The 23,692-nt window shown below is 35.3% G+C and overlaps 1 long non-coding RNA gene and 1 other non-coding gene across 4 annotated transcripts in view, besides 1 other annotated feature; one reads left to right on the forward strand and one right to left on the reverse strand.

The window, feature by feature from the left end:
- LOC102723654 (uncharacterized) overlaps positions 1-17,136 on the forward strand; it is a 253,720-nt gene extending 236,584 nt beyond the window's left edge. For all 3 annotated transcript variants that reach the window (XR_001742463.2, XR_001742465.2, XR_427770.4), the window contains 4 exons: positions 7,509-7,674; positions 11,656-11,732; positions 12,217-12,439; positions 15,859-17,136. This is a non-coding gene — a long non-coding RNA (uncharacterized LOC102723654). The remainder of the gene's footprint in view (positions 1-7,508; positions 7,675-11,655; positions 11,733-12,216; positions 12,440-15,858) is intronic.
- Positions 17,137-20,269: 3,133 nt separating this feature from the next.
- MIR4460 (microRNA 4460) lies at positions 20,270-20,355 on the reverse strand. Its single transcript, NR_039665.1, has one exon. It is a non-coding gene; the product is annotated as a microRNA 4460 (primary transcript).
- Positions 21,311-22,299: an enhancer, noted in NCBI's record as "OCT4-NANOG hESC enhancer chr5:128733796-128734784 (GRCh37/hg19 assembly coordinates)". NCBI's record gives its function as "activates a minimal SCP1, AML or CMV promoter by ChIP-STARR-seq in primed H9 embryonic stem cells {active_cell/tissue: H9 hESC(primed)}" and the evidence as "EXISTENCE:reporter gene assay evidence [ECO:0000049][PMID:30033119]".

Here is a 23,692-nt window from a genome sequence, read left to right on the forward strand (position 1 = left end):
TATGAAATCTGTTCTTATCTCTGGGTTCCAAAGGAGTCCTAACATTTCAGGCCTTTGTTAGCCTGAATTACTTCTTGTTTCCTTGAGATCTCCAGGTCTGTTTTCTGGAAATCTTACCCTACACCTTGATCTAAGGCACTCAGTCATATTAGTTTCCGAAATTGCCAATTATCCAATTTTGAGGCCTGGTTCTCCGATTAGTGAGAGATAGTAATGCTCTTCAACTCTCCTTCACAGGAGAATTGGTTAGTTTTCCTTGACCAATATCATTTACTAGAGTTGACCATTATGAATTAGGTCTAACCAAGCACCAGAGCCTGACCCTCAGCCCTTCCTACTTCAAAACCTAGCCTATGGTAGCTGTTTAGAATGTCGGTTATTTTCACCTCTGGGATACTTGTATCTATTACTTTGGAAGGGTTTAATCTCTTGTTATCAGTCTTGATCACTTATCATTTAGATATTCTATGAAAAAGAAAAAATTTTCTAAGACTGCATAATTGTCAATATTTTATAGTACTACTTTATGAATAAACTATAGCTGTTTTGACTTCTGTAATTGCTCTAGATTTGCTCTTCAGCCATTACTTCCTTGAAAATAAAGACCCAGAGGATTTATGTTCCCAGTTGAGGCTGTTGCAGACACTTCCTGTTCACAGAATCTCAGGATAAATCATCCTCTTTGGGGTAGATTTTCATTGTTTGTATCACTTAGTTTCCTTTCTTCTCCTTAAGATGGTGCTTAAGTGTATAGGTATTATGATTTGTGCTGTCCCCTGAATCATTACGAGTTTCTGTGGCAGTTTTCTCTCTGCCTTATCACTGAACGTGCAAATGACACCTGCCACTGCTGTGTGGTGTGGTAAGCTCAAGACTCATTCACTTGTCTTGGCTGGCTTCCAGTAATTCTTCCTGCACACCTGGCCCTCTCTTTGATCTTTCTTTTACTACAGACACTCCTAAGCCTTATCAGTACCTTCCATGGACAACTCAAGTAGAATTCTCTCATCAATCATCCCTCACCCTGGCAGCCTCAAGGCAGAACCACTGGCCTAGTCGATAGCTGTTTTTCACATCCCCACTGAGAGGACATCAGAACTTTTGAGAATTAGTAGAAAGCTCCTCCCTCAGCCACTTGCAGCCCACTCTTCTGCTAGTACACGCTGTATACAGACTTTTAAAAATGGATTTAAATTTTCCATTCTGTTTTTAGGACAGTGAAAAATGAGACTGACTGCTCTGAGATTCTCTTAAATTTATTGGACTTTTCCAACCATTACCCATGCCCACACTGGGTAATAAAAGTACATCTGACTATTTGCTCCCTATATCACTCTCTCTGAATATTGTCTTCCCTTTTGTCCTTAGAAATACTTCCATCTGTCTCCTGTGTAGGCGAGAGTTTTCTATTCAATGTACTGACTTTTCCTTGCCTGTGGCTTGAGTTAAATCCAGTGTTTTCAAAGTAGTATCCTAATTACATCAATCTTTTCTGCTAATATAAATAATTCACAGAAATTTTAAAATATAAAAAATAAAAAAATCTGAAATCTCCCCAAGGCATAATTACAATCAATATTGTATTTCATGTAGTTCTCAATCTTTCTCTATGAAAATATTCTCATTTGACTGTATTCTATACAAACACCTTTATACAGATCAGGTCATAGTACCCATGTTTTTGCAAATTATTCCTTGCAACCCACAATCAGTCTTAGAGATCTTGTGGTTAATATAAGTGATATTCCTTTTAAAATGTGTACTATATTCCATTGCGTGAAAAGGCCATAAATCATTTTACTAAGCATGTCTTAGTGTTATAAATATGTATTTTATATAAAAGTATAAGTTGTATATTAGAATCTGTCTACTTTTAACCAATTTTCCTTTCCTTAGTCTCTTAACTTGACCGTATTGAATTATTTGAAACTATTTCACACTCTACAAAAAATATTATATTACAAATAAAGAAAATAAAAACTATGGAACCACTAAACATTTCCTAGCCTGGAGTTTACCTTAAGAGTCTAGGATTATGGAAATAAGTAGAATATAATTGTAGATTGATATTCTGAATGTCTCATCCATTTTTTCATATCCAGGACATTGAAAACTTTAAAGGACGTTCATTCTTTAAGATCTAAGAGGGTATCTAGTAAAAACAACTTCTCAAATAAAGACATCTATGTCCTGATATTCCTCCTAAAACAAATAAAAACAAACAAGTGCAAGAAATTGTAGAATATATAGTGATTAACAGCAGAGTCTCTGGAGGCAAACTGCCGGAATTCAAATTCTTAATGCATCCTTTACTAGCTGTGTGATATGGGCCAATTTCCTTAATCTCTTTGAGATTGATTATGTCATTACATCAGAGGGTAAAGGTTCAGAACAGTGCCTGGCACTAAGTAACCATTCAACATATGCTAGTTATTGTTTCTGATGAACCTAGAAAGCAGGTACGACTAATCAAGGAGAGGATACAAGTGCAGTGAAAAATGAGGTTGGTGGTAATATAAATTCAAAGGCAGATGCAGATCATTAACATCTTGCAAAGCCCTTCAACATATATTCCATAATCTGAGGGTCCAATGAACCCTCACTTCAAATGGTAGTTGAGGGAAGCCTTCCTGACTCGTATTTGGCATATGAGAGAAGAAGATGAGATGAAGATGAGATAAAGATGACTGAGGCAGTGCGCAGGTTGACTGTGTGTCAAAGAGTCTGAGGAAAGCACAGCAAGCAGCTCTATAGTTTCTGGTTTTGACCACAGGAAGAGAAGTTACTGCCAAATCACCACACCAAACTTGGTCATCTTCCCTGGGGCCCAGTGTTTTCCTGCCAGCCTGGAACGGACTGAGCCACAGTCCGTTGGGTAAATGTTCAGTAGAAAAGTGATAGCTCAAGTTTCCATCTGTAGTTTCCTATCTGCTGACCCAGCTCATTCCCCTGCCTAACTTGTTTCTCACACCATCTTTTAAGAAACAACTGGCAAGAAAAAAGGCCTCCTTGTATTAACCAGAAAGAAATTAGCATGGGGTCTATACAAAGATAAGAAAGGAAAAACACAGTGCTAGACTCCTTAAACCGACGGATGTTGTGTGGATCAAAGGAAACTTTTTTTACTTTAAGACCTAATGTATTAAAGAAATGAAGTTATTCAACAGTTAATATTACTTCAAACAAAATCAACTTTCTTCTAAATACTTATTCCTTGCATGAGTGATACATCAATGTCTTTTATTAATATCTGAAGTAATTCAACCACATATTTTGAAAATAAAGGCTACCCCAGTTAACAAGGTAAAGTAATAGCTGAAAGGCGATTCAGATATACGTTTGAAAGAAAGGGAGTTACAGTATTAGGTCAGGAGAACAAAAGAGGCTATGCCTTTAAATAAATAAAACATGAAGGCTATCCTTTTGTGATTGAGTTTTCTGCATTTAGAATGTAGAGCATGGCATACAATTATTTTAATTATGAAAAAACTTATATTTCTCATTATTTGCCCTTTGCCAATAAAACAAAATGCATACATCAATGCTTATGTATGGATGAGCTCATGTTGTTATTCATTAGCCTATACTTATAAATGATGCCTAAAGAAAGTAGGTATGATGAAAAGAAAAAATAGCTATAAAAATTTGTATTATATAAAAGAAAATTGTTTTTAAAAGACAGAAAATTTCAGCACATTAAATGTTGATGTCTGAGAACAGGACTAGAACCAATTAAAAAAACTTATTTCAAATATGATGTAAGAAACCTCCCTAAAATAAAGGTATATTTAAATATGCAGACTAAATGATGTTGAGTGCCTCAGGAAAAAGCAATTAAAAAATAACTTTGGGACAAAAAAACAAAAAATACTTACGGGAAAAATAATTAAGCTGAAGTTAAAGTTTTCCACATTCAATATTCCATATGTTTGTTATACTGGTCCCTCTGGTTTTGAGAAAAATTTAAAAATTTTACAATAAGGAGTTGAAAATATATGGATATTATAGATCAAAGTATATTTTCAGTGTGAAAACACATTTTAAATTTTAAGCCAAGTTCTCATTTATTATAGACAACAGTCTTACATTTTAAAAATATACTAGAACAACCCCATAATATAGCATTCAATACTATTAAAAATCCTCATGAGAATAAATTGTGGCCTGCCTAAAGTTAAATAAACACAGTATGAGCATTGATAATAAGCACTGAGTCCATTTAAATATAGAACTAATGCTAAGAAATAATGAATATTATATTTAAAGAAGAAAACAAAAACCTTCATAAACATTGACATCATAGAAAATATAAAACAACTGACAAAAATCAGGAAGTAAGGAGAAACAATATGAGTGTTGTATTCCAATTTACTCAATATTCTAGTGAAGCAGATTGGTTTATGTTCTACAGATAAGCTGCAGAAGAACCACAGAATAGAAAACAATACACCAAAACCCAACAAGAACACAAGCCATCTATCAAAATGTATTTTAGCATTAGACAGCATTTCCTCAAATATGATGCAAAACTAATAGCAAGCATATCTATCATATAAATAAACAAACAAAGAGACAATAAGTGTACTCTTTAATGCAGAAAGAGAAAGTTACTAGATTGGAAGCTTCGATCACACAGCAACCCTGCTATTTTCTATAAACAAGAAATTCATCTGGAACAAAATGTTTAAGGACTGTAGAAAGTTAAATGATGAACAAATCTAGACAGATGAGTGTAAAAGCAGAAGTTAGAAATATCAGAAATATTTAATTCATGGAAAAATATTAGAAAAATGATAAAGAACCCTTTATAATGAAAAATAATATAATTTGCTTTGTATTATGTCATGAATATTTGTTTACAAAATGACAAAACATAACTTGTCATAAAGCTATGAAGAGTAGGAGACACATAAGAGTAGAGATTTTATTTTCCCTTTATCAGGATACGACAAATAATAAAAGGATGTAGTCAATAAATAGAAAATTTAAGAGACTGTATATAATATACCATATGCTATGTGTTTCTATATGTTTTACATGTCTTAATACATTTCAACATTAGTTTTTCAAGTGCTCATGAAACACAGATAATAAAATAGGATCATCATAAACCACATTTCTTGATCAATAGATAACAAAAGTAGAAGACCCAAATGAAAAGTACTATGTTCAAATTTATTTTTAGAAACTATAGTTCTATTCAAAGTAATATTGTGGATTTCTTATAAAATATATTTGCAAAACTTGATGTAACATTGAAAGGAGAATATAATAACACTTCGTGGAATGTAAGCCATCTTGTGATGAAATAAGTATTTTTCATTAAGCAGCAAAACGTGTTCTGTCAGGGGATCATTAGATGTATGCAAGACCCTAAAATTATGTCAGCAGAAACTTCATGTGTTTTGCAGAAGCCTCTACAGCCTTGAAGAAAGATGGGTTAGCTCATATCGAGAGACTAATTAGCTGTAAGGCTGACTGGCTGGTTTACTCAGAGAGAAAAGTTTATGCAGTTAAGCAAACTTACTGTAGGGAGTTGACATGAGTTTGCAAAATGCAGTCTCATGTTATGACCATAAATAGGTAAAGTGATTTCAGAGAAGGCAGAAATTCAATGTCTTACAAAAGCTGATGAGAACTGGAATTCTGCAGAGTTGTCTTTTAGTTACCTACCTAGGGAACTTTTCCATGACTTATAGTCAATTAGAGGTAAGAGACTTACCTCCACAAGACATGTCATGACACAAGTAAGGTGAGAAACAGGTTTTTTTTTCTTGACACGTTATGTTCCTTTTTGGGGAGAAGGTAGCTTTTAGAGCTTGCGTTATCTTCAGAGTTTTGCAATAAATAATCCACATATTGGATGAGAATACCATTACTGGAGAACGTGAGGTCCTTGAGATCCTGATTAAAAACTTATGAAAAATAAGACAGAGCCTCATTCAATATCTGAGGTATGACAGTCTGCATATATTTGATTCTCTCAAGGTAAACAAGTATGAACTGTTCAAATGTAAATATATGCCAAAGAAAGCAGAACCTCAATCCAAAACTATAAAATAGGTTTCAGGTGGAGTTGAAAAGAGAATAGTATTTAGATTTAGTACCAATGGAGAGCAGAGTATATCCTATTGACAGCCCTATGACTGTGAATGAATTTCTGATGGCATCTTAAAAGACAGGTTAGAGAGTATTAGAAAACCTACTTCAAAGTATAGGTCTCTTTTCTGTTAGTCTTTCCAGAAAGGTCTTATTTCTGTTATTCTGATTTCAAGTGGTGGTGTGCAGCTTTTGGTAAATGTTTAGATGAATCACTCTGAACGTGATGGGTTTAGCTTCAATAATCCTGCCAGTATGAATAGAATTCTTGACCCATGGGAATCTGGTATCTTGCAGAGATCTAAAGTTTATAAGGTTGATTTAAACATAAAGTAAACCTGTGTCCAAATTAACTGTAACTGGATTATAAGTAGGAGACTGAGAAAGACTTTCTGGGGCTCTCTTAAGCTGGCAATTCCATTTATGTATGAAACCTATTATGATTAAGTTGCTTGGCATGGTATCATAGAGGAGGAAAACTGTTGTTGTTTTTTTTTAAGTAAAAGGACAGGAAATGCAGTCATCCCTCTGTATGCTGGGGGGATTGGTTCCAGGAACTCCTGCAGATGGCAAAATCTGCAGATTCTCAAGTCCCTGATATGAAATAGTGTAGCATTTGCATATAATCTATGCACATCCTCTGATATATTTTGACTCATCTCTAGATTACTTGAAATACCTAATACAATCTGAATGCTATGTAAGTCATTTGTTATACTTTATTGTTTAGGGAATGACAAGTCTGTACATGTTCACTACAGATGCCATTTTTTTCTGAATATTTTCAATCAGCAATTGGTTGAATCTGTGAATGCAGAACTTAACAGATACAGAGGGCCAACTGTATTTAACTAACAATTAACACATGTTTTAGTATTTTAAAAACCAATAGTCCTGGCACGGTGGCTCATGCCTGTAATCCCAGCACTTTGGGAGACTGAGGCAGGTGGATAACTTGAGGTCAGGAGTTCAAGACCATCCTGGCCAACATGGTGAAACTCATCTCTACTAAAAACACAAAAATTAGCCAGGTGTGGTGGTGTGTGCCTGTAGTACTCGGGAAGCTGAGGCAAGAGAATCACTTGAACCCAGGAGGCGGAGGTTGTAGTGAGCCAAGATCGCACCACTGAACTCCAGCCTGGGCAACAGAGTGAGACTCCACCTCAAGAAAAATAATAATAAATTAAAAAATAAAAACCAATAATTTCCAGCTGAATGCCCCTGGATATATTAACTTTATGTATCTTTAAAAAACACAGACTCATAAATTTAAAAAATACAATATTATAAATGTAATGAAATTTATATCCCATAAAATAAATGATTAAGTTTCCGTTGAAGTTATTGTCTTAAAGAAGACTAATCATGTCCTTCTCTAATTTATCTTCCAACTTTTGCATTGCGTACAGAATAGTTTCCAAACCACATAGCTTGTATTACATGGCCATTTACAATATGGATCCCAACTACATCTTTCGTCACTCTACTGCAGCTATTCTACACTCTTATCACAGTGCAAAGTTAATTATTCACCCGCCAAGCTCTTCTTTGGTGAATATTTATCCTATTTATAAGGTAAGCTAAGAAAGCAAACTCTGCAACTATACTTATTGGCAACTATACACATTAATAGCTTTTGTAGTTTTATAATTTTATATCTGTTTAAATATGTCTTATGTGTATTTCCTCCTTTCATTAATTAAAACATATGTTCAAAAATCTATAATCATATAATTTACTTCAAGATATGCACTTAGGTACCCTTGGATCATTTATTCTTAAAACTAAATATTTCAGTCGTATATCATTTATCAGCCTTTTTAGCCCTTCAAAAAGGGCTAAAATCATTATTATGGTTTCCACTGTGCTCCTTCCAAGTTCCCTTCAGCAGAAAATGGTGATGTATTGTATAAAGATGTTTATAACATTTGTCAAGCCTTCATTATAAAAAGTAGTCTAACAAAGCAATGATGTCGTCTACCTTCCTGTTTATGCATGAATATGTATTATGTTTGCATTTTAACAGTGGCAGCCCATGACTGATTTGTGGCCACTGATGAGTCATTTTCTTGACTAATTACATTAGGTCTGTTTATGATATGAACAATAAAACTATGATGGATAGCTGAATTCTACAATTTAAGTGCAGATGTTAAGAGTTTGCTTTCAGCCTATTGAAAGAAGTAACCAGATAGTAATTTCACTATGCTGTCTTTTTACACTATTGCCTTCTAAATGTTCAGATGCACTGAAAAATGTTGCTTTTTTTGTATGACCAGTTTAGTTAAATTTCAATCAATCAAATGAAAATTTGAGTATAAAAGGCTCTCTTTCCAGAGACTTCCATATTACAAAATGAAAATATAACTTAAGTCATAATGTTGTCCTTGTTATTTTCTGTTTGAGTAGCTCTTCCCACCTCTGCCACCAATAGTCAGTGTCTGTACCATCAACATACATATTCTAAATGATTATTGACACTGGAGGAGTCACATGGCTCAAGGAGGTCCAACCTGCTCTCTTATGTAACCCCAGGCCAGTCAATATAGAGAGCTCAGTTTTCTCTTAATTAATGAGCCTCAGCTTTCATGATGATGTTGTTGCTCTTTAGTTCCTATGAATTTAGGTGCCTTGACTTTGTCTTGAGTTTCATTTTCTGAGAGAAAATGATTCAGGTTCCTTATTATCACTGGTGAGAATCACGCAGTTGGAAGATCTACATTGAGAAACCAACTATCCCATGAATGTATTTGATGCTGTTATTATACAAGTTGCTTACAATTCTACGGTAAACTTTTTCTTATCAATATAATAAGTATAAATTACCTCTTTGTATAGCAGAAGTGTTATGTGTTTTGAAAAATAATATACATAGGCCAGGTGAGGTGGCTCACGCCTGTAATCCCAGCACTTTGGGAGGCCAAGGCAGGCAGATCACGAGGTCAGGAGATTGAGACCATCCTGGCTAATATGGTGAAACCCCATCTCTACTAAAAATACAGAAAATTAGCCAGGCATGGTAGCATGCACCTGTAATCCTAGCTACTCCAGAGGCTGAGGTAGGAGAATCGCTTGAACCCAGGAGGCAGAGGTTGCAGTGAGCCGAGGTCGCACCACTGCACTCCAGCCTGGGCAACAGAGCGAGACTCCATCTCAAAAAATATACATAACTTGTTTGTTTTTAGTTTAAAATTTTATGTAAATGTAAAATGGTGCTGGGATTTCACTCCCTCTTCAATAAGTGTCCTCTGCTGGTTACTCTTTTCCAGAAACCAATTTCAGAAATCTTCAAGGAAGTCTGAAGCCAGGCACGGTGGCTCACACCTGTAATCCCAGCACTTTGGGAGGCTGAGGCTGGTGGATCACCTGAGGTCAGGAGTTCGAGACCAACCTGACCAAAATGGTGAAACCCTGTCTCTACTAAAAATAGAAAACTTAGCCAGGTGTGGTGGCATGCACCTGTAGTCCCAGCTACTTGGGAGGCTGAGACAGAAGAAATGCTTGAACCTCGGAGGAGGAGGTTGCAGTGAGTGAGATTGCGCCACTTCACTCCAGCCTAGGTGACAGGGCGAGACTGTCTCAAAAAAAAAAAAAAAATTTCAATAATTCTGGAAGAATAGTAGATTGCAAAAAAATGACTGTTGTTAACAACCAAATAGCCAGGCTCATTTGAACAGCTTGGACACCTTTACATATCAGAAACTTACATAAAATCATATTAAAATAAAAGAAAACATGCCAATGCTGTGTCTTTATAAGACATTTCAATTTTAAGATGTTTGCTATTTTAATGTTTTCATAATTTATCATTAACCTCAACATTTAAGTGGATGGAGTTTTATGTGAAGTCATGGCCATCAAGCATCTATTACAGATGGTGCCATCTAAAGAATATTAGTGCTCACCCTCCCTAACTCCTGACTAGGTGATGTAAAATTAGACTCTACTCTCACTCAATCCCAGTTTGTTCCCTTCAGTCCCCATGACCTAGAGATGCCTACTTAATATCTATTCTCTGCTTCCCGAAACTTTTCAGGATCTCTATATTGTTGGATGCAGCAATGTGCTCATCTAAAAAATTGCATTTCTCTAGCTGCCCTTGCTTATGAATGTGGCCACTGATATGTTAGAAGAAGCTGTTGTGCGAGCTTTGGGGAAAACTCCTTAAGAAATCTGGAACTGGTAGGGGATCTTTCACTTTTCACCATGTTCTTATCCGGACTTCAGTAATGATAGTGGAAATCCAATAACCATCTTGTGAGCATGAGGTAAATTTGAGGATGGAAGCCACACATTACAGATGATAGAGCAAAAAGATGTTAGCAACCTGGGTCCTGATAACTTTATGGAGCCACCATAGCAATTCATGTTATGTGAGAAAAAGAGATGTTCTGAAATCAAGTTTAAGCCACTATTATTTTTGAAGTATCTACAACAAGAGCTCAATACAATTCCTAGCATTTATTACCCTTCCTAAAATAGGCATATAAAATTGTATCTTTCTTTCCCATAATCAGAAAATAGCAATAACATACATATATACACATGCATATAAAAATGTGTATTTAAAAATATTTGGTAGAAAAGGTACCATAATTACCAAAATACAGATATTATTTATATCATTTTGTTTCTATTTTCTTGTACTTTTCAAGTAGACCTTTTTTTTTTTTTTTTGAGACTAAGTTTCGCAATTGTTGCCCAGGCTGGAGTGCAATGGCGTGATCTCAGCTCACTGCAACCTCTGCCTCCCCTGTTCAAGTGAGTCTCCTGCCTCAGTCTCCCTAGTAGTTGTAATTACAGGCATGCACCACCACACCTGGCTAATTTTGTATTTTTCTTGTACTTTTCAATATAATAAACATGAATCTCTTGTAAAAAGAAAAAAAATCATTGAAGGAACATATTGAATGAAAATGGTATACCTGGCACTTTGGATTTATAATTCTTACACTGTAATAACCTCATTATCTTATTTTATCTTCTATACCAGTATATGTATATATCTGCTAGTTACATGCAAACAAATGAGTCTGTGATAACAATATTGAGAAGTTGGGCAATCTATATATTTTTACTATGACTATTACTTAACATCTACAGATCTGATAATATTTGTTATAAAATACTTTTCTTTCAAACCTTGAAATGGATTCATCTAAGTGCCAAGAAAAAAATAAGTATCTAAAAATGTCTTCTCTGGAGATTTATGCTGGGAAGTGTCAGAACAATGGGCAAAGTACAACTGAGAGGGCTCAGTGAGGCTCAGTCACTGCCAGGCCCCAAGTGTTCCAGAAGATTAGCACTGTCGTAAGCGTAATTATGATAGATGATGATTAGGTGCTATCTTTGGTTGTTTTTTCTGGCTTTCTTTGACATGCTTGTCTTAATTAAATCCAAACTAGAATGAAAAATAAGAAAATCTGCCATTTAACCTACTGTATAAAAAGCCAAAATTACACATCAGCTCATATTTATTCATCTTTAACAAGAAAAGCAATGCCATTGGAGATTAATCAAGTGTTGTTGTTTTTATTTAACTCTTATATCTTTTAGATTTATGTTTACTAGAAGCCATGGATGTGAAAGTATGTAAAATTATAAGACTCTGGGAAGACAGACTGAGAATAGAGGTATGGATTGGGGGAGGGCGACACTTGCTAACACATATTATGCATATAAAAAATATGTGGTAGAAAAGATACCATAATGGTCAAAATACAGATATCATGTTCTTGTTTCTATGTTCTTGTGCTTTTCAATATAATAAACATGAATCTCTTTTGTAATAAGAAGATAAAATTGTTGAAGGAACATACCTGGCACTTTGGATTTATAATTCTTACACTGTAATAACTGCATTATCTTATTTTATCCTCAGTTAATAAAACCCAGAATACTAGTCATCATCATCATAGTCCTTTATATACATTGTGCTACTTTTAAAACTGTCTATACATTTTTTAATATTCCTGGCTTCAATAGGAACACTTAATTTCTCTAGCCTGGAGTATGTGTTAGACCTAGTGACTTCTAACAAATAGAATATGTCTGAAATATGTGTCCCTTCTGAGTTTTGATTATTTCTGTCTGTTTCTCTCTCATCATTCACCACAGGAGAAATAATCTGCCATGTTGTTAGCTCCCCTGTGAGGAGACCCATGTGATGAGGAACTGAGGCCTGACAACAGTCAGAAGAGTGGGCTTGGAAGTGGATCCTTAAGCTCCAAACCTTGAGATGATCCCATTTCTGGCCAACATCTTGACAGAAATCTGATGCAAGACCCTGAGCCAGAACCACCCAGTTTAGCTGTACCCTGATCCTTGACCCTGAGGAATTGTGAGATAAATGTTTTCTCTCTCAAGCTTCTAAACTTTGGGGTAATTTATTATGCAACAATGAATAACTTATATATATATATATATATATGTCATATATTATATATGTATATAAAATGTATGATGGATAACATATATATGTGCCGCTATATATATATGTTACCCCCCATTGTTGTATAATAAGTATACACATATACACCCACACACACAATTATTATCTAAAACCAAATGTGGAATTCTGGGGTAAAACGAAAGAAAGCTTAAAATTTCCCCAATCTCTACTACCTCCAAAATCTACAAATTTACCCCAAATGAGTAAATACTAAAAGCTATGCCAAACAAAGCAGCTATTGAGTGAAGGAGGAGGTTCATCATCAGTCCATAGTGTACTGCAAGAAGAGGAGACTAAAGAATTCAGAAATCAACCATGACCTTTACTCTGAGATTTCTGTCTTCCTCAAATCAGCAGGTAGGAATACAGGGATAAAGTGAATGGACACAATTCTGAGAAAAACTCTAACTCTCACCATTCAGTTATGAGCCATAAGTGCCTCTCCAAACTCGGAGGGATGAAAAGAATTTGTAAAGACCTATGGCTTACGCTCATATATTTGAGTATATATTGTCTATCATGGTTTTTGTTTTCTATTCATCTTGCTAATCTATATTTTTTCATACATTCCTTGGCTTTTAAATTATTATTTTCATTTTCCTCCCTCTATTTTGAAAATTAAGATATATTTTATTCATAAAGTGACTACATTAATAATTTCTACAAGCATTGTTTAAGTATATATTAGGAATATCTCTATCCTCTTCCAGAGTTTAGACCAATGATTCTCAAATTTAATATCCATACAAAACGCTGAAAGAATTTGTTAGACTTCTGACTCTGATTTAGTAGGTCTGGGGTAGACCTGAGAGACTGAATTCTAGTTACCTCACAGGCGAATCTGACTCTCCTGCTCCGTGGAATAGAGTTTAAGAAACAAGGCTTTAGAGCCCCATAATTCCTTTCATCCTTCATTCTAACTAAAATTTCCAATTTACTATTGTTTATTTGATTTCTGACTTTCATCTCTTTAACCAGTCTAGCCATTACTCTTATTACTTTATAAGTCAAGTTTGATTTGTAGCTTTTCTCTATCTCCATTCTTCACTCTTTGTGCCTCGTACAGTTCTTTGGGGGTCATTTTTCTTTCTGCTTTATATTATGATCTGCTAGTAATAAACTTCAATTTAAGTATATCAGAAAATACCTTTATTTTGCTTTTCTTCTTGTTTAACTGTTGTATGCATTTTTTAAAAATAAGAGTATTTTCCAGGAGGCTGACAGAGCAGCCTCCAGCTTAAGCCCAGGAGTTCAAAGCTTCAGTGAGACAATTGTGCCGCCTACTCCAGCCTGGGTGACAGAAGACCCCCGTCTCCTAAAAATATATATATATTTTCCTATATAGCCAAAATATTTTCATCTCACTTAAAATAATTTTTAATATATTATCATCCCTTATTCAAGTTTTTCTAATAGTCTCAAAATGTCCAAAACAAGAGACAGAAACACCACCATGAATTTAATTTACTGCTTCTTTATCTTAAGGACTATTGTATAGTCAAGTTTTTCCTCATGCAAGTAAAAAAAAAAATAGATTTCTGTGTTATGACATTGGTGCTACACAAATATCCAGTTTCTGTCAAACTTTTCATCTTACGGTTTCAACACCAATTGATAATTGTTACTACAATCTGTAGTCATCAGGATTTGTAAAAATTGATTATTCCTCCTACTTATGTTATAGAATTATCTAGCTTTCTCTTATTAAACAAAGCTACTTAGTACCCTAAAATATAGTTGCTATTTAAATGAAGAATAAATTCTTTATTCCTTCTCTTAAATTACCAAATTTCAAAGGAAAGTTGATTTAATAGTTTTGTTTAATAGAGATGATTCTTTTTTCATTGACTATCGTCATGAACCCAACCATTTTCATAAGCTATATTGTAATGATTTACTATCATTACTCTTTGTTGAAGCCCAAATGGTTACAATTACCAGAAAGAGTCTCTTTAAGTTGGCACCTATCCTAGCCCAAAGTGAATGTCCTCATGCCCACCCTCAAGCAATAGATTAAATACAAACCAGCAATATCTAGCCCTCAAAGTGAAGCTCTTAGGGAAAGATAAGATGTTTCAAACAAGCTGCTAGTAAGTTTAAAAATATCTTCAAAATGTGTAATGAAGAGAATAGTACAAGGTTCCGAATAGTATTATCCATGTCCTCTGATTTCTGTTAAAGAGATTTTTACTCATTCATTTATTCACATAATGAAGATGCATTAAATTCTTGCTAAATTCAGGGAAGATACCCTGCCACTTGCTAAGAAGACAACTTAGCTCAAAGCATATATACATTTTCCTCCTCTATGCTGCTGTGGTGAAGGATTCCTAATCAAATAACTTCATTAACAAATGTAAGCTTATCACTTTAATAGGTTTTTTAAAGAAACGAATGACAGGTTTTGAGAATGTGATCCTCTATCTGGGAATAGATAACATTGGGGGAGGAGTGGGTTAATGTTATAGGCAAAAATAATCCAGGTAATGGAAGATGAAGATATTTCAAATAAATAAATTTCAGCAAAGGTCCATGCTATTGAAAAAAGCCATGTGAAATGGTACTGAAAATATACATTGAATTTAGGAAAGCATAGGCCATTGGTGAGCAATGTGAAAGCTCGTGAATGTTATTTTGGTATGGGATAAAGCCATTTATTTATATATAAATCAAAATCTGTGGAACTACACACTATAACTTTTCAATAAACTTATAATAAAAGTTTACAGTAGAGAATCATGTTCAGAGTTGGGGAAGAGAAAAAGTAAATTATTATTTTCCATAGTGTTGTGGTTATTTTCATGCAATGTAATATTTTAAATTCAAAGAAGGAATTTTCCTAAAACTTCTTTAGAATTCTTAAATTTAGTTGTTTTAAGAGTATTATGTGTAAGAAAAAGCATTTGTATAATCTAAGTTTTATAATTTCATGATGCTATCCATGTGTACAGAAAGATATATGATCACTGTGCTGGTAAACTAAGATTCCTTGAATAAATATTAATATTTTTAAAGACTCCTTTAAACCAGTAATAGGAACTCTGAACTCCTGAGTCCTGGGGTTTTGATTTTGTCACAGAATTTTCTTTCTTAAAAGGCAGTATGGCAAGTATGAGAATGTTACACTTTCATTGCATCCAGTCTTTTTTTATCCTATTGTGAAGAAGTGTCCTGTAATTCCAGATGAAGCTCAGTTTTTATATCAGCCATTTTTTAAGAAAGAGAACTATACTCTGGATCCTCGAGTGAAAGTGTTAGGCTTAAGTAATTTAGTCTTTTTTTTCTCCTAAATGTGCTTGCTTCATTAGGTTTCAGAAGAAACTACCTTAATGAAGAAACAGAAGGGAAAGACGTGAAAACCTCCAGAGTTCTTCAGAAAGGCTTCCTTTGCATAGAATCGTTCATCAATTTCAACAGTAACAGAAAGTAACGGAAACGTGATCTGAATGAGTAGCTGAAAATTGAGTAGTAACTTAACACTCCATTGAAGTTTTTCATCAGATATGGGGCACAGCTTGACCCTCGTATTATAAATATTTAAATGCTTTGGATATTTTGCCAAAGTTTAAGCATTTCTTCCCAAAGGAACAGTGGTGATATAATGTGAGTCATGCTAAAGTACTTAACCATCAGTGGGCAGATTTTGTGGCATGAATTTTTGTAATGATTTTAAGTAAGACCCGGTATATTCACAAATATCCAAAACTTTATTTAGAACTGTATGGGAAGCTATTCTATCTAAAAGCTCATTCTTATTAAAAGTATTTTTTCAGGAAATAAAATGATGTTAAACCTGGAAGTCTCCAGCAAAGAGACTGATTTTTTTTTAGATGCTCCCAACTCAGTAAATTTTGCTTTCCTATTTTCTTATTTTTGTACGTATGCCACTGATGTCTAGCTTATACACTTCTGTTATATTTACAGCTGTTTACAACCATTGAACCAAAAGTTCTATACCTGTTGAATGTCTAAAAGTAGAGAAAATTAATTGAAAAGCAATAGGTTAAGAATCAACCTGTGGTCCCAAGAAAAAGAAGTAAAATCCTATAAAATTCTTAAAGCATTTCCTCTATAAATATTTGAAAGTTATTTAATCTTTTGGTCTTTATAGTGCCTGGATTGACATTCTGCATTAACTATGGAATCATTTTTATAAGGAATATTTTGTGATTTGTATAAGAAAAAGTATTTCTCAATGGCATAGGAAGAGCTTTGCTAACTCTTAGAAGAAAGAGGGAAGAGAAGAGGGAAGGAAACAAGTAAAACGAACTGGTGGTACATCGTGTATTAAGAGATAATACAAGGATATCATACTATAATGTTTTCAGACAAAAATTATGGACAGGCTAATTCGTGAAATAAGATGAAGACCTAAAAGGTAGCAATGATCCTATACACTATACTCTGTAACAGTTGTTTTCAAACTGCTTTTTAAACATAAAAACAATTTTAAATCCACTATTTTAGCACATTCTGGTCTTATATAGTAATTACATGGCTATATTTTTCCAGTGTGACATATTTAAAATACATATCATTAAATTTCTGGTTAATCTTAAACATGGAAATAAAGTACGAAATTTCTAGTTGTTGAAGTATGTTTAAAATAAAATATATTAAAATATCATTATTTCAGTCAATAATTTAAAGTAAATGGGGGTATATTTGTGTACGTACATATATGCATATATGTGTGAATGCACAGAAATACAAACATGTCTATATAAGGATCTATACTGCTCTAAATTTTTAAAACACAGAAGAAAAAAAAACTAAGATGTATTTTTATGACTTTTTAGTCAACTATAGGGAATTCTTCAATTGTCCAGAACTCCTTCCTCTTTTTAAGGCCAAAGGATCATTACCTTCTTTTATCCACATTAAAAAAGAAAATCAACTTAATCTCTAAATGAATATTAAATTGATTTCCTCTTAAAGCTGACATCTGTTTAACATAAGCTAATTCCAGAGGGCTAAAAGAATTATAAGCCAAAAATGAAACCCTAAGTCTCCCCAGGTGGCTGAACAGACTCGCTCTGTGCCAAGGGAACCTCAGAGAAACCTGAAAAACTGAATTCCTACCCATGACTAGAAGGGACATCAGACATGCCTCATTATATCCCATTCCTTTGGAGTTAGTACAAAATTGACCAACATTAACATTAAAACAGAGGTCGGCTGGGCGCAGTGGCTCATGCCCGTAATCCCAGCATTTTGAGAGGCCGAGGCTGGCGGATCACGAGGTCAGGAGATCCTGGATAACACGGTGAAACCCCGTCTTAACTAAAAACTCAAAAAATTAGCCGGGCGTGGTGGCAGGTGCCTGTAGTCCCAGCTACTCGGAGGGCTGAGGCAGGAGAATGGCGTGAACCCGGGAGGCGGAGCTTGCATGAGCCGAGATCACGCCACTGCACTCTAGCCTGGGTGTCAGAGCGAGACTCCATCTCAAAAAAACAACAACAAAAAAACCGTACGACTGACCGAACAAACTCGAGCTTGATGCTGGTATAGCTTCATGTGACAAATAGCATACTCTGAATAAATTTGAAATATTTTACCCCAAAATATTTCTTTGACATATTTTGAAATGGCCCTGGGAGAAATTTTTATCTGTACAGAATTACCATTCATGTAGCCAGACCTGTCATGGATCTAGGAGAGATTAAGAGTGTGATACCGGCGGGGGAAAGGGGCTTATCTCAGCACTTTGGGAGACTGAGGTGGGGGAATCACCAGGTCAGGAGTTCGAGACCAGCCTGACCAACATGGTGAAACCCTGTCTTTACAAAAAATACAAAAAATTAGCTAAGTGTGGTGGCAGGTACCTGTAATCCCAGCTACTTGGGAGGCTGAGGCAGGAGATTGCTTGAACCTGAGAGGTGGAGATTGCAGTGAGCCAAGATCGCGCCACTGCACTCCAGCCCAGGCGACAGTGCAAGACTCAGTCTCAAAAATAAATAAATAAAAAATAAGAGTGTGATACCTTTTAAGGTGTGAAAATAGACATTTGCCATCTATTATCTCTAAAGGCTCTCTCTTCTCTCTAAAGCCTACAACCTAGAGGCTTCATCTACATAACAAAGATCTTAGCTTCCACAACCCCCCTTATCTTAGCTCAGGCATTTCTTTCTATGACTTCAAGTCTTTAGACAAAGCTTAACTGTCAACCAATTGCCGATGAGAAAATCTTTGAATCCACGTATAACCTGTAGGCCCCCACTTTGAGATGTCCTGCTTTTCTGGGCTAAACCAATGCGTATCTTACATGTATTGATTTATATCTTTGCCTATCACTCCTATCTCCCTAAAATGTATAGAATCAAACTGTAATCCAACTGCCTCAGGCACACTTTCTCAGGACCTCTTGAGATCACTCATATTGGCTCAGAATAAGCCTCTTTAAATATTTTAGAGTTTGTCAACAAAATTAAAAGAGCAAAGAACTGTATGTGTGGTAAGAAATCTCTTCCCTGTTTTTCTATATTTTTGAATTGACTTCTCCAAGTATGTTGCAGAGTACCTGTCCCATATGTAAAGCCACGATGGTTAGCAGTAGCTCTAACGTACTGCTATGACCCAGGGTCATCCAAGTGTCTCAATTTTTATTTTCTTAGCTTTTTAAAATTGTTACCTACTGCATTCCAGAGTGTTCTTAGAGTTAACTCACAGAAATAAGCATTTAAAAATTTCCCATGCATTATCATGGCTCAAGATATTATCATAAATCTTTTTGCCTTATTATTATTGTATTGTCTTACATATCCTTACTTCCCTATTTACTCCTGGAGTTTGAGTAAACTCCAGGTTCCAAAGTTGTTATTATCCCTCTACTGTCACAAAATCAGAGTGTCCAATTCTAGTTGCTGTAACTTCACCTATTTTCCAGATATCACCACAAACAGATCTTTTGTCCAGAAGGAACAGGTATAGAGAAACAGAGGCACTTCTATAAAATAGATAACCGTATTATCCCATTTTGTCACAAATCAGCCACATGTAGCCACTTGGTGTGCAGCAGTCTCAACTAAGTTGTCATTGTACTTATCATCTAGAAGCATGTCAGTCCAACATGAGAAGCCAGGTAACCAAACCAGAATTAAATTTAAATTCCTTAGGTACTCTTTTGGCCAGACTACCATCTGGAGATTGTACCAACCAACTGGGTCTGGGGTTGCTGTTAGGGGAAAGAGAAAATCATCATATCCAGAAATAGATCAGAATCTTGAACATCCCAAATAAATTAATAAAACCCTCATTTCTTCCTGATTTTTTTTTTAGCCAGGAAGTGGCCAGAGGAGATTATCCCTTTTTGTAAACAGCCACATTAAGTAAACAAACTGCTTTATGAAACTATGAGGATCAGTAGAAAGTGAGAGAGGTAGAGTCAGAAATCTTTTTGAGTTGATATTTAAAACCTGTTCCAATGTTCAAGAATCCCAGATACCAGTAGGTGGTAGAGGAGAATGGGGAATCCACTGAATGATTTGACGGCCAGGCCATTGTTGAGCTGCCTTTGCAGTAAAACACGCATTATTAAAGCAAAAGGTCAAGAAAGCCAAAAATATGACACAAGATTAGCTTCAAGAACCTCAATGCTGTGTCTGCAGTTAGCTGATTAGACAGGAACAGGAACAGCAATGTTGTTGCCTAAAACTGGGGTCAACACTGGTGAGACAACGCAGCAAACCTCTATCCAGCAAGGTTCTGAAGATTCACCTGGTTTCTGCCCACAGTGGTTGTGAATTTACCTCCTTTATCACTGCAAAGAGGAGAAGGTAAATTCACAACCACTATGGGCAAAAAACAGTGCCTCTCTGTGAGAGTTGTCTGTTAATTCTTATCAAGGTGAATCAGAAGAGATGACAACATTCGTTTGTTTATCTCTTCTTCATAGTGTCATGGTACCTTTGACATTATTCAGTGTCTTAAACCAGAGAATGTCTAATGTTGGAATTTTAAGTAGGGCAGAAAATCTACATATTTGCTCTACCAAGTGTATTAGTCTGTTCTCACACTGCTATAAAGAACTGCTTGAGACTGGGTAATTTATAAAGAAAAGAGGTTTGACTCACAGTTCCACATGGCTAGGGAGGCCTCAGGAAGTTTGCAATCATGGCAGAAGGGGAAGCAGGCACGTCTTACATGCCAGCAGGTAAGAGAACATGTGAACCAAGCAAAGGGGGAAGAGCCCCTTACAAAACCGTCATACCTTGTCATACCTTGTGAGAACTTACTATCATGAGAAGGGCATGGGGGAAACTGACGCCGACCTCCCCCACCCCACCCATGATCCAAACACCTCCCACCACGTCCCTCCCTCAACACCTGGGGATTACAATTAGAGATGAGATTTGGGTAGGGGCACAAAGCCAAACTGTATCACCACAGTACTGTCAAATAATGACAAGTTTGCAACCGTTTCTATGTGGGGCCAATTATGATAGAAAATGTTACTGCCTTTGCTGCTTTATCTGATAAGTATAAGCAATAGTATCACCATTTGTCATAATAATACACAGACTGAACATTTGTAAGATACTTCACATTTTACAAAGCAACTTTCATGTTACGATTTTATCCACCTTCTTAAACACCCCAAAGGAAGGTAATATTTCTTCTAACAAATGAAAATATGTGGCTTATTCATTATTCAACCTCAAAGCAGCAAAACCAACATAGAAACTGGGGTCTTTGATACAGAAATCTGGTGTTTGTGCAGAGCTGTCATTAAAGCTTTCCTCCTAGAAGGAAAGTATGACTAAGGTCTTTTGTTTTGTATATGTTGAGATCTTGCCATGCAGCTTGTAAATGTTCACAAAAAGCATGGGGAGTTTTGATACTTAATTACAAGATTGGGTCAACTAATATAAAGCCCTGGATTCTCAAGTTCTCATTAGATACTTTTGATGTTGGAGGTTATTGTGTGTGCCAGTGGATGCAGAAGGTTGATTTGGCCCAGCCTGTCATTCCCCCCTCAAGCCCCCCAATTACCTGGATGATGTATTGGTAGAATAGGCAATGCTACTGAAGAATTCTTTCATCTGAGAGTGAAGATGAAAACAAACCAACACATTCTCCCTGCATTGTTCACTAGCTTTTTGTTTTATCCTCCTAAGGTTTGATGTTTGATAATGAATAAATTAGGATAAAATGTGAATGCACCCTCTGTAAGGACCCAGCGGGAAACATTGGCTGTTGAGCCAGATCTCAATCAGCAAATGAAAGGGGTTCATTTTGGCATCAAGACCAGGCCTGTGAAGTCTGCATATTTAGAAGAAATTCAAGATGAAAAAGGAAATATGTGTGCATGATGTTTATGTGTATGCAAGAGAGATAGACTTAGAAAAGTTTCAATTTTATGGAAACATCACAAACGAGATAAGCAACTTAATTTCCTTATTATATAATTTATATATAAAAAATTCATCATTTCACTATTGTTGATTAAAGTGGCATATTTTACTAGCGCACATAATGTTTTACCATTTGGAGGCTGAACATCTTTTGAAACTCATACACATCTGTAAAATACCTACATCGTTGGCATAAACTGTTGCTCATCTTCATGGAGACAACTTGAGCCTGATTTAAAAAAATTGTATGGAAACTGGTTTTATATGGAATAACATGAACAGTCATGAAATTGGTGTTAATACTTCTTCTTCTTTAGTATGATATTTAGATCTGCTTCTCTCTTCCTGGTCTATATGCATTCCTTCTTTCAAAGGTTGTGATATATTGTTATTCTAAGGACAGTGCCCTAAGGAATTTAATTACATTAATTTAAAGCCAGGATCTGAGGCTAACAGCACTCATACCTCAGATAGTATGTGGTCTGATGCTGTTACCTTTCTCCTCATACCTGCCCTCCACAAAGAGCTGTCACATGACTTTGGCACCTCCCAATTCTTCCCCCTGTCACTCAGCTTTTAGACAGAAGCTGGCTTTTTTCTGTAGTCCTTTCTTCACCTAGCGCATGCCTGAAGCCTGGAAGCTTTGCTGCAGGCTTAAATTCTTAAGTATGTAAGAGGTTATAGCCATTCGAGGAAAAATACCAAATAGGCAAATATGTTTTTCTGGCATGTTCTCCCTCTTCCCATATTATTTCAGACTCTAGGACCTGCTACGAAATGAGCCTTGAGGAAAGGATGTGCTGCTGGTGGGCAGACACTCATTTTTTATATATACACTCATTTTTTGTATGTATGCATTACCTGTTACTTCTTCTGGGCTCATTTAAACAGTGAACTCTCTTTTAATTGTATCACTTCAAACTGAATTTCTAAATGAAAAAAATCTGAGAGTCTAGCTAGCATGTTAGATGGATATTTTGGGTGGCAAAGACACTTTCCCAAATAACCTATCACAGATGATGTCTCATGCAACACTTGTATGTAATATGCAATGAAGACATTGTTCCTTTGGAAAGTAACTCAAGATCTTGTACCCTGAGGCTGCTACTGTAGTTTTGTTTCAGGCCTTGAATACACAGCCTTAAGTCTTGTCCTCATTTATTTTATGTGATAAGTGACCTGGCTCGAAGCAGGATCAACTCATTTTTAAATAGAGGCAAAAAGGAACATATAGAGAAATATACGTGGCAGGTTCATTACATTATATGGACATCACAACAATAACATTTTTTTCTTTCAATCTGTAATTAGATAAATTTTCTCTTTTGAAAACATGAAAAAGGAAGATGTAGATAAGGCAGCTAACTTTTGAAATAGCCTGGTCAAATGACATTTTAAAAAGAAATTAAGGTTTTTCTATTCCTTTGAGAAAATTTTTATACTTAAGAATTTTAATAATTAGGATTTCTTAAAGGGACAGGAAATGTAACACAAGATATAATGCTATGTATTATACATTCAGTGAGATTAAAAATACACTGAATTAAAAGTACTTTTCTTTTGTGTTATATCTGACTGTGATTGACATTCAATATATTTACTTAAATTTTTCCCTTGACCTCTTTTCTTCTCATTTCCTTTTTCTTTATGACTATAAAGCTGAGATTTTTATCTGTTAATTAGTAGCTTAAACTTCTGATGTTAGAGTTGCCTGGGGCAAGCAAACATAAATGGTTAAGTATTACATTCCTACCATATAATTAACTGACTTTCCATATGTGAAAAAAGA

The sequence above is a fragment of the Homo sapiens genome, chromosome 5 (assembly GCF_000001405.40).
Source record: "Homo sapiens chromosome 5, GRCh38.p14 Primary Assembly".
Classification (NCBI taxonomy): domain Eukaryota; kingdom Metazoa; phylum Chordata; class Mammalia; order Primates; family Hominidae; genus Homo; species Homo sapiens.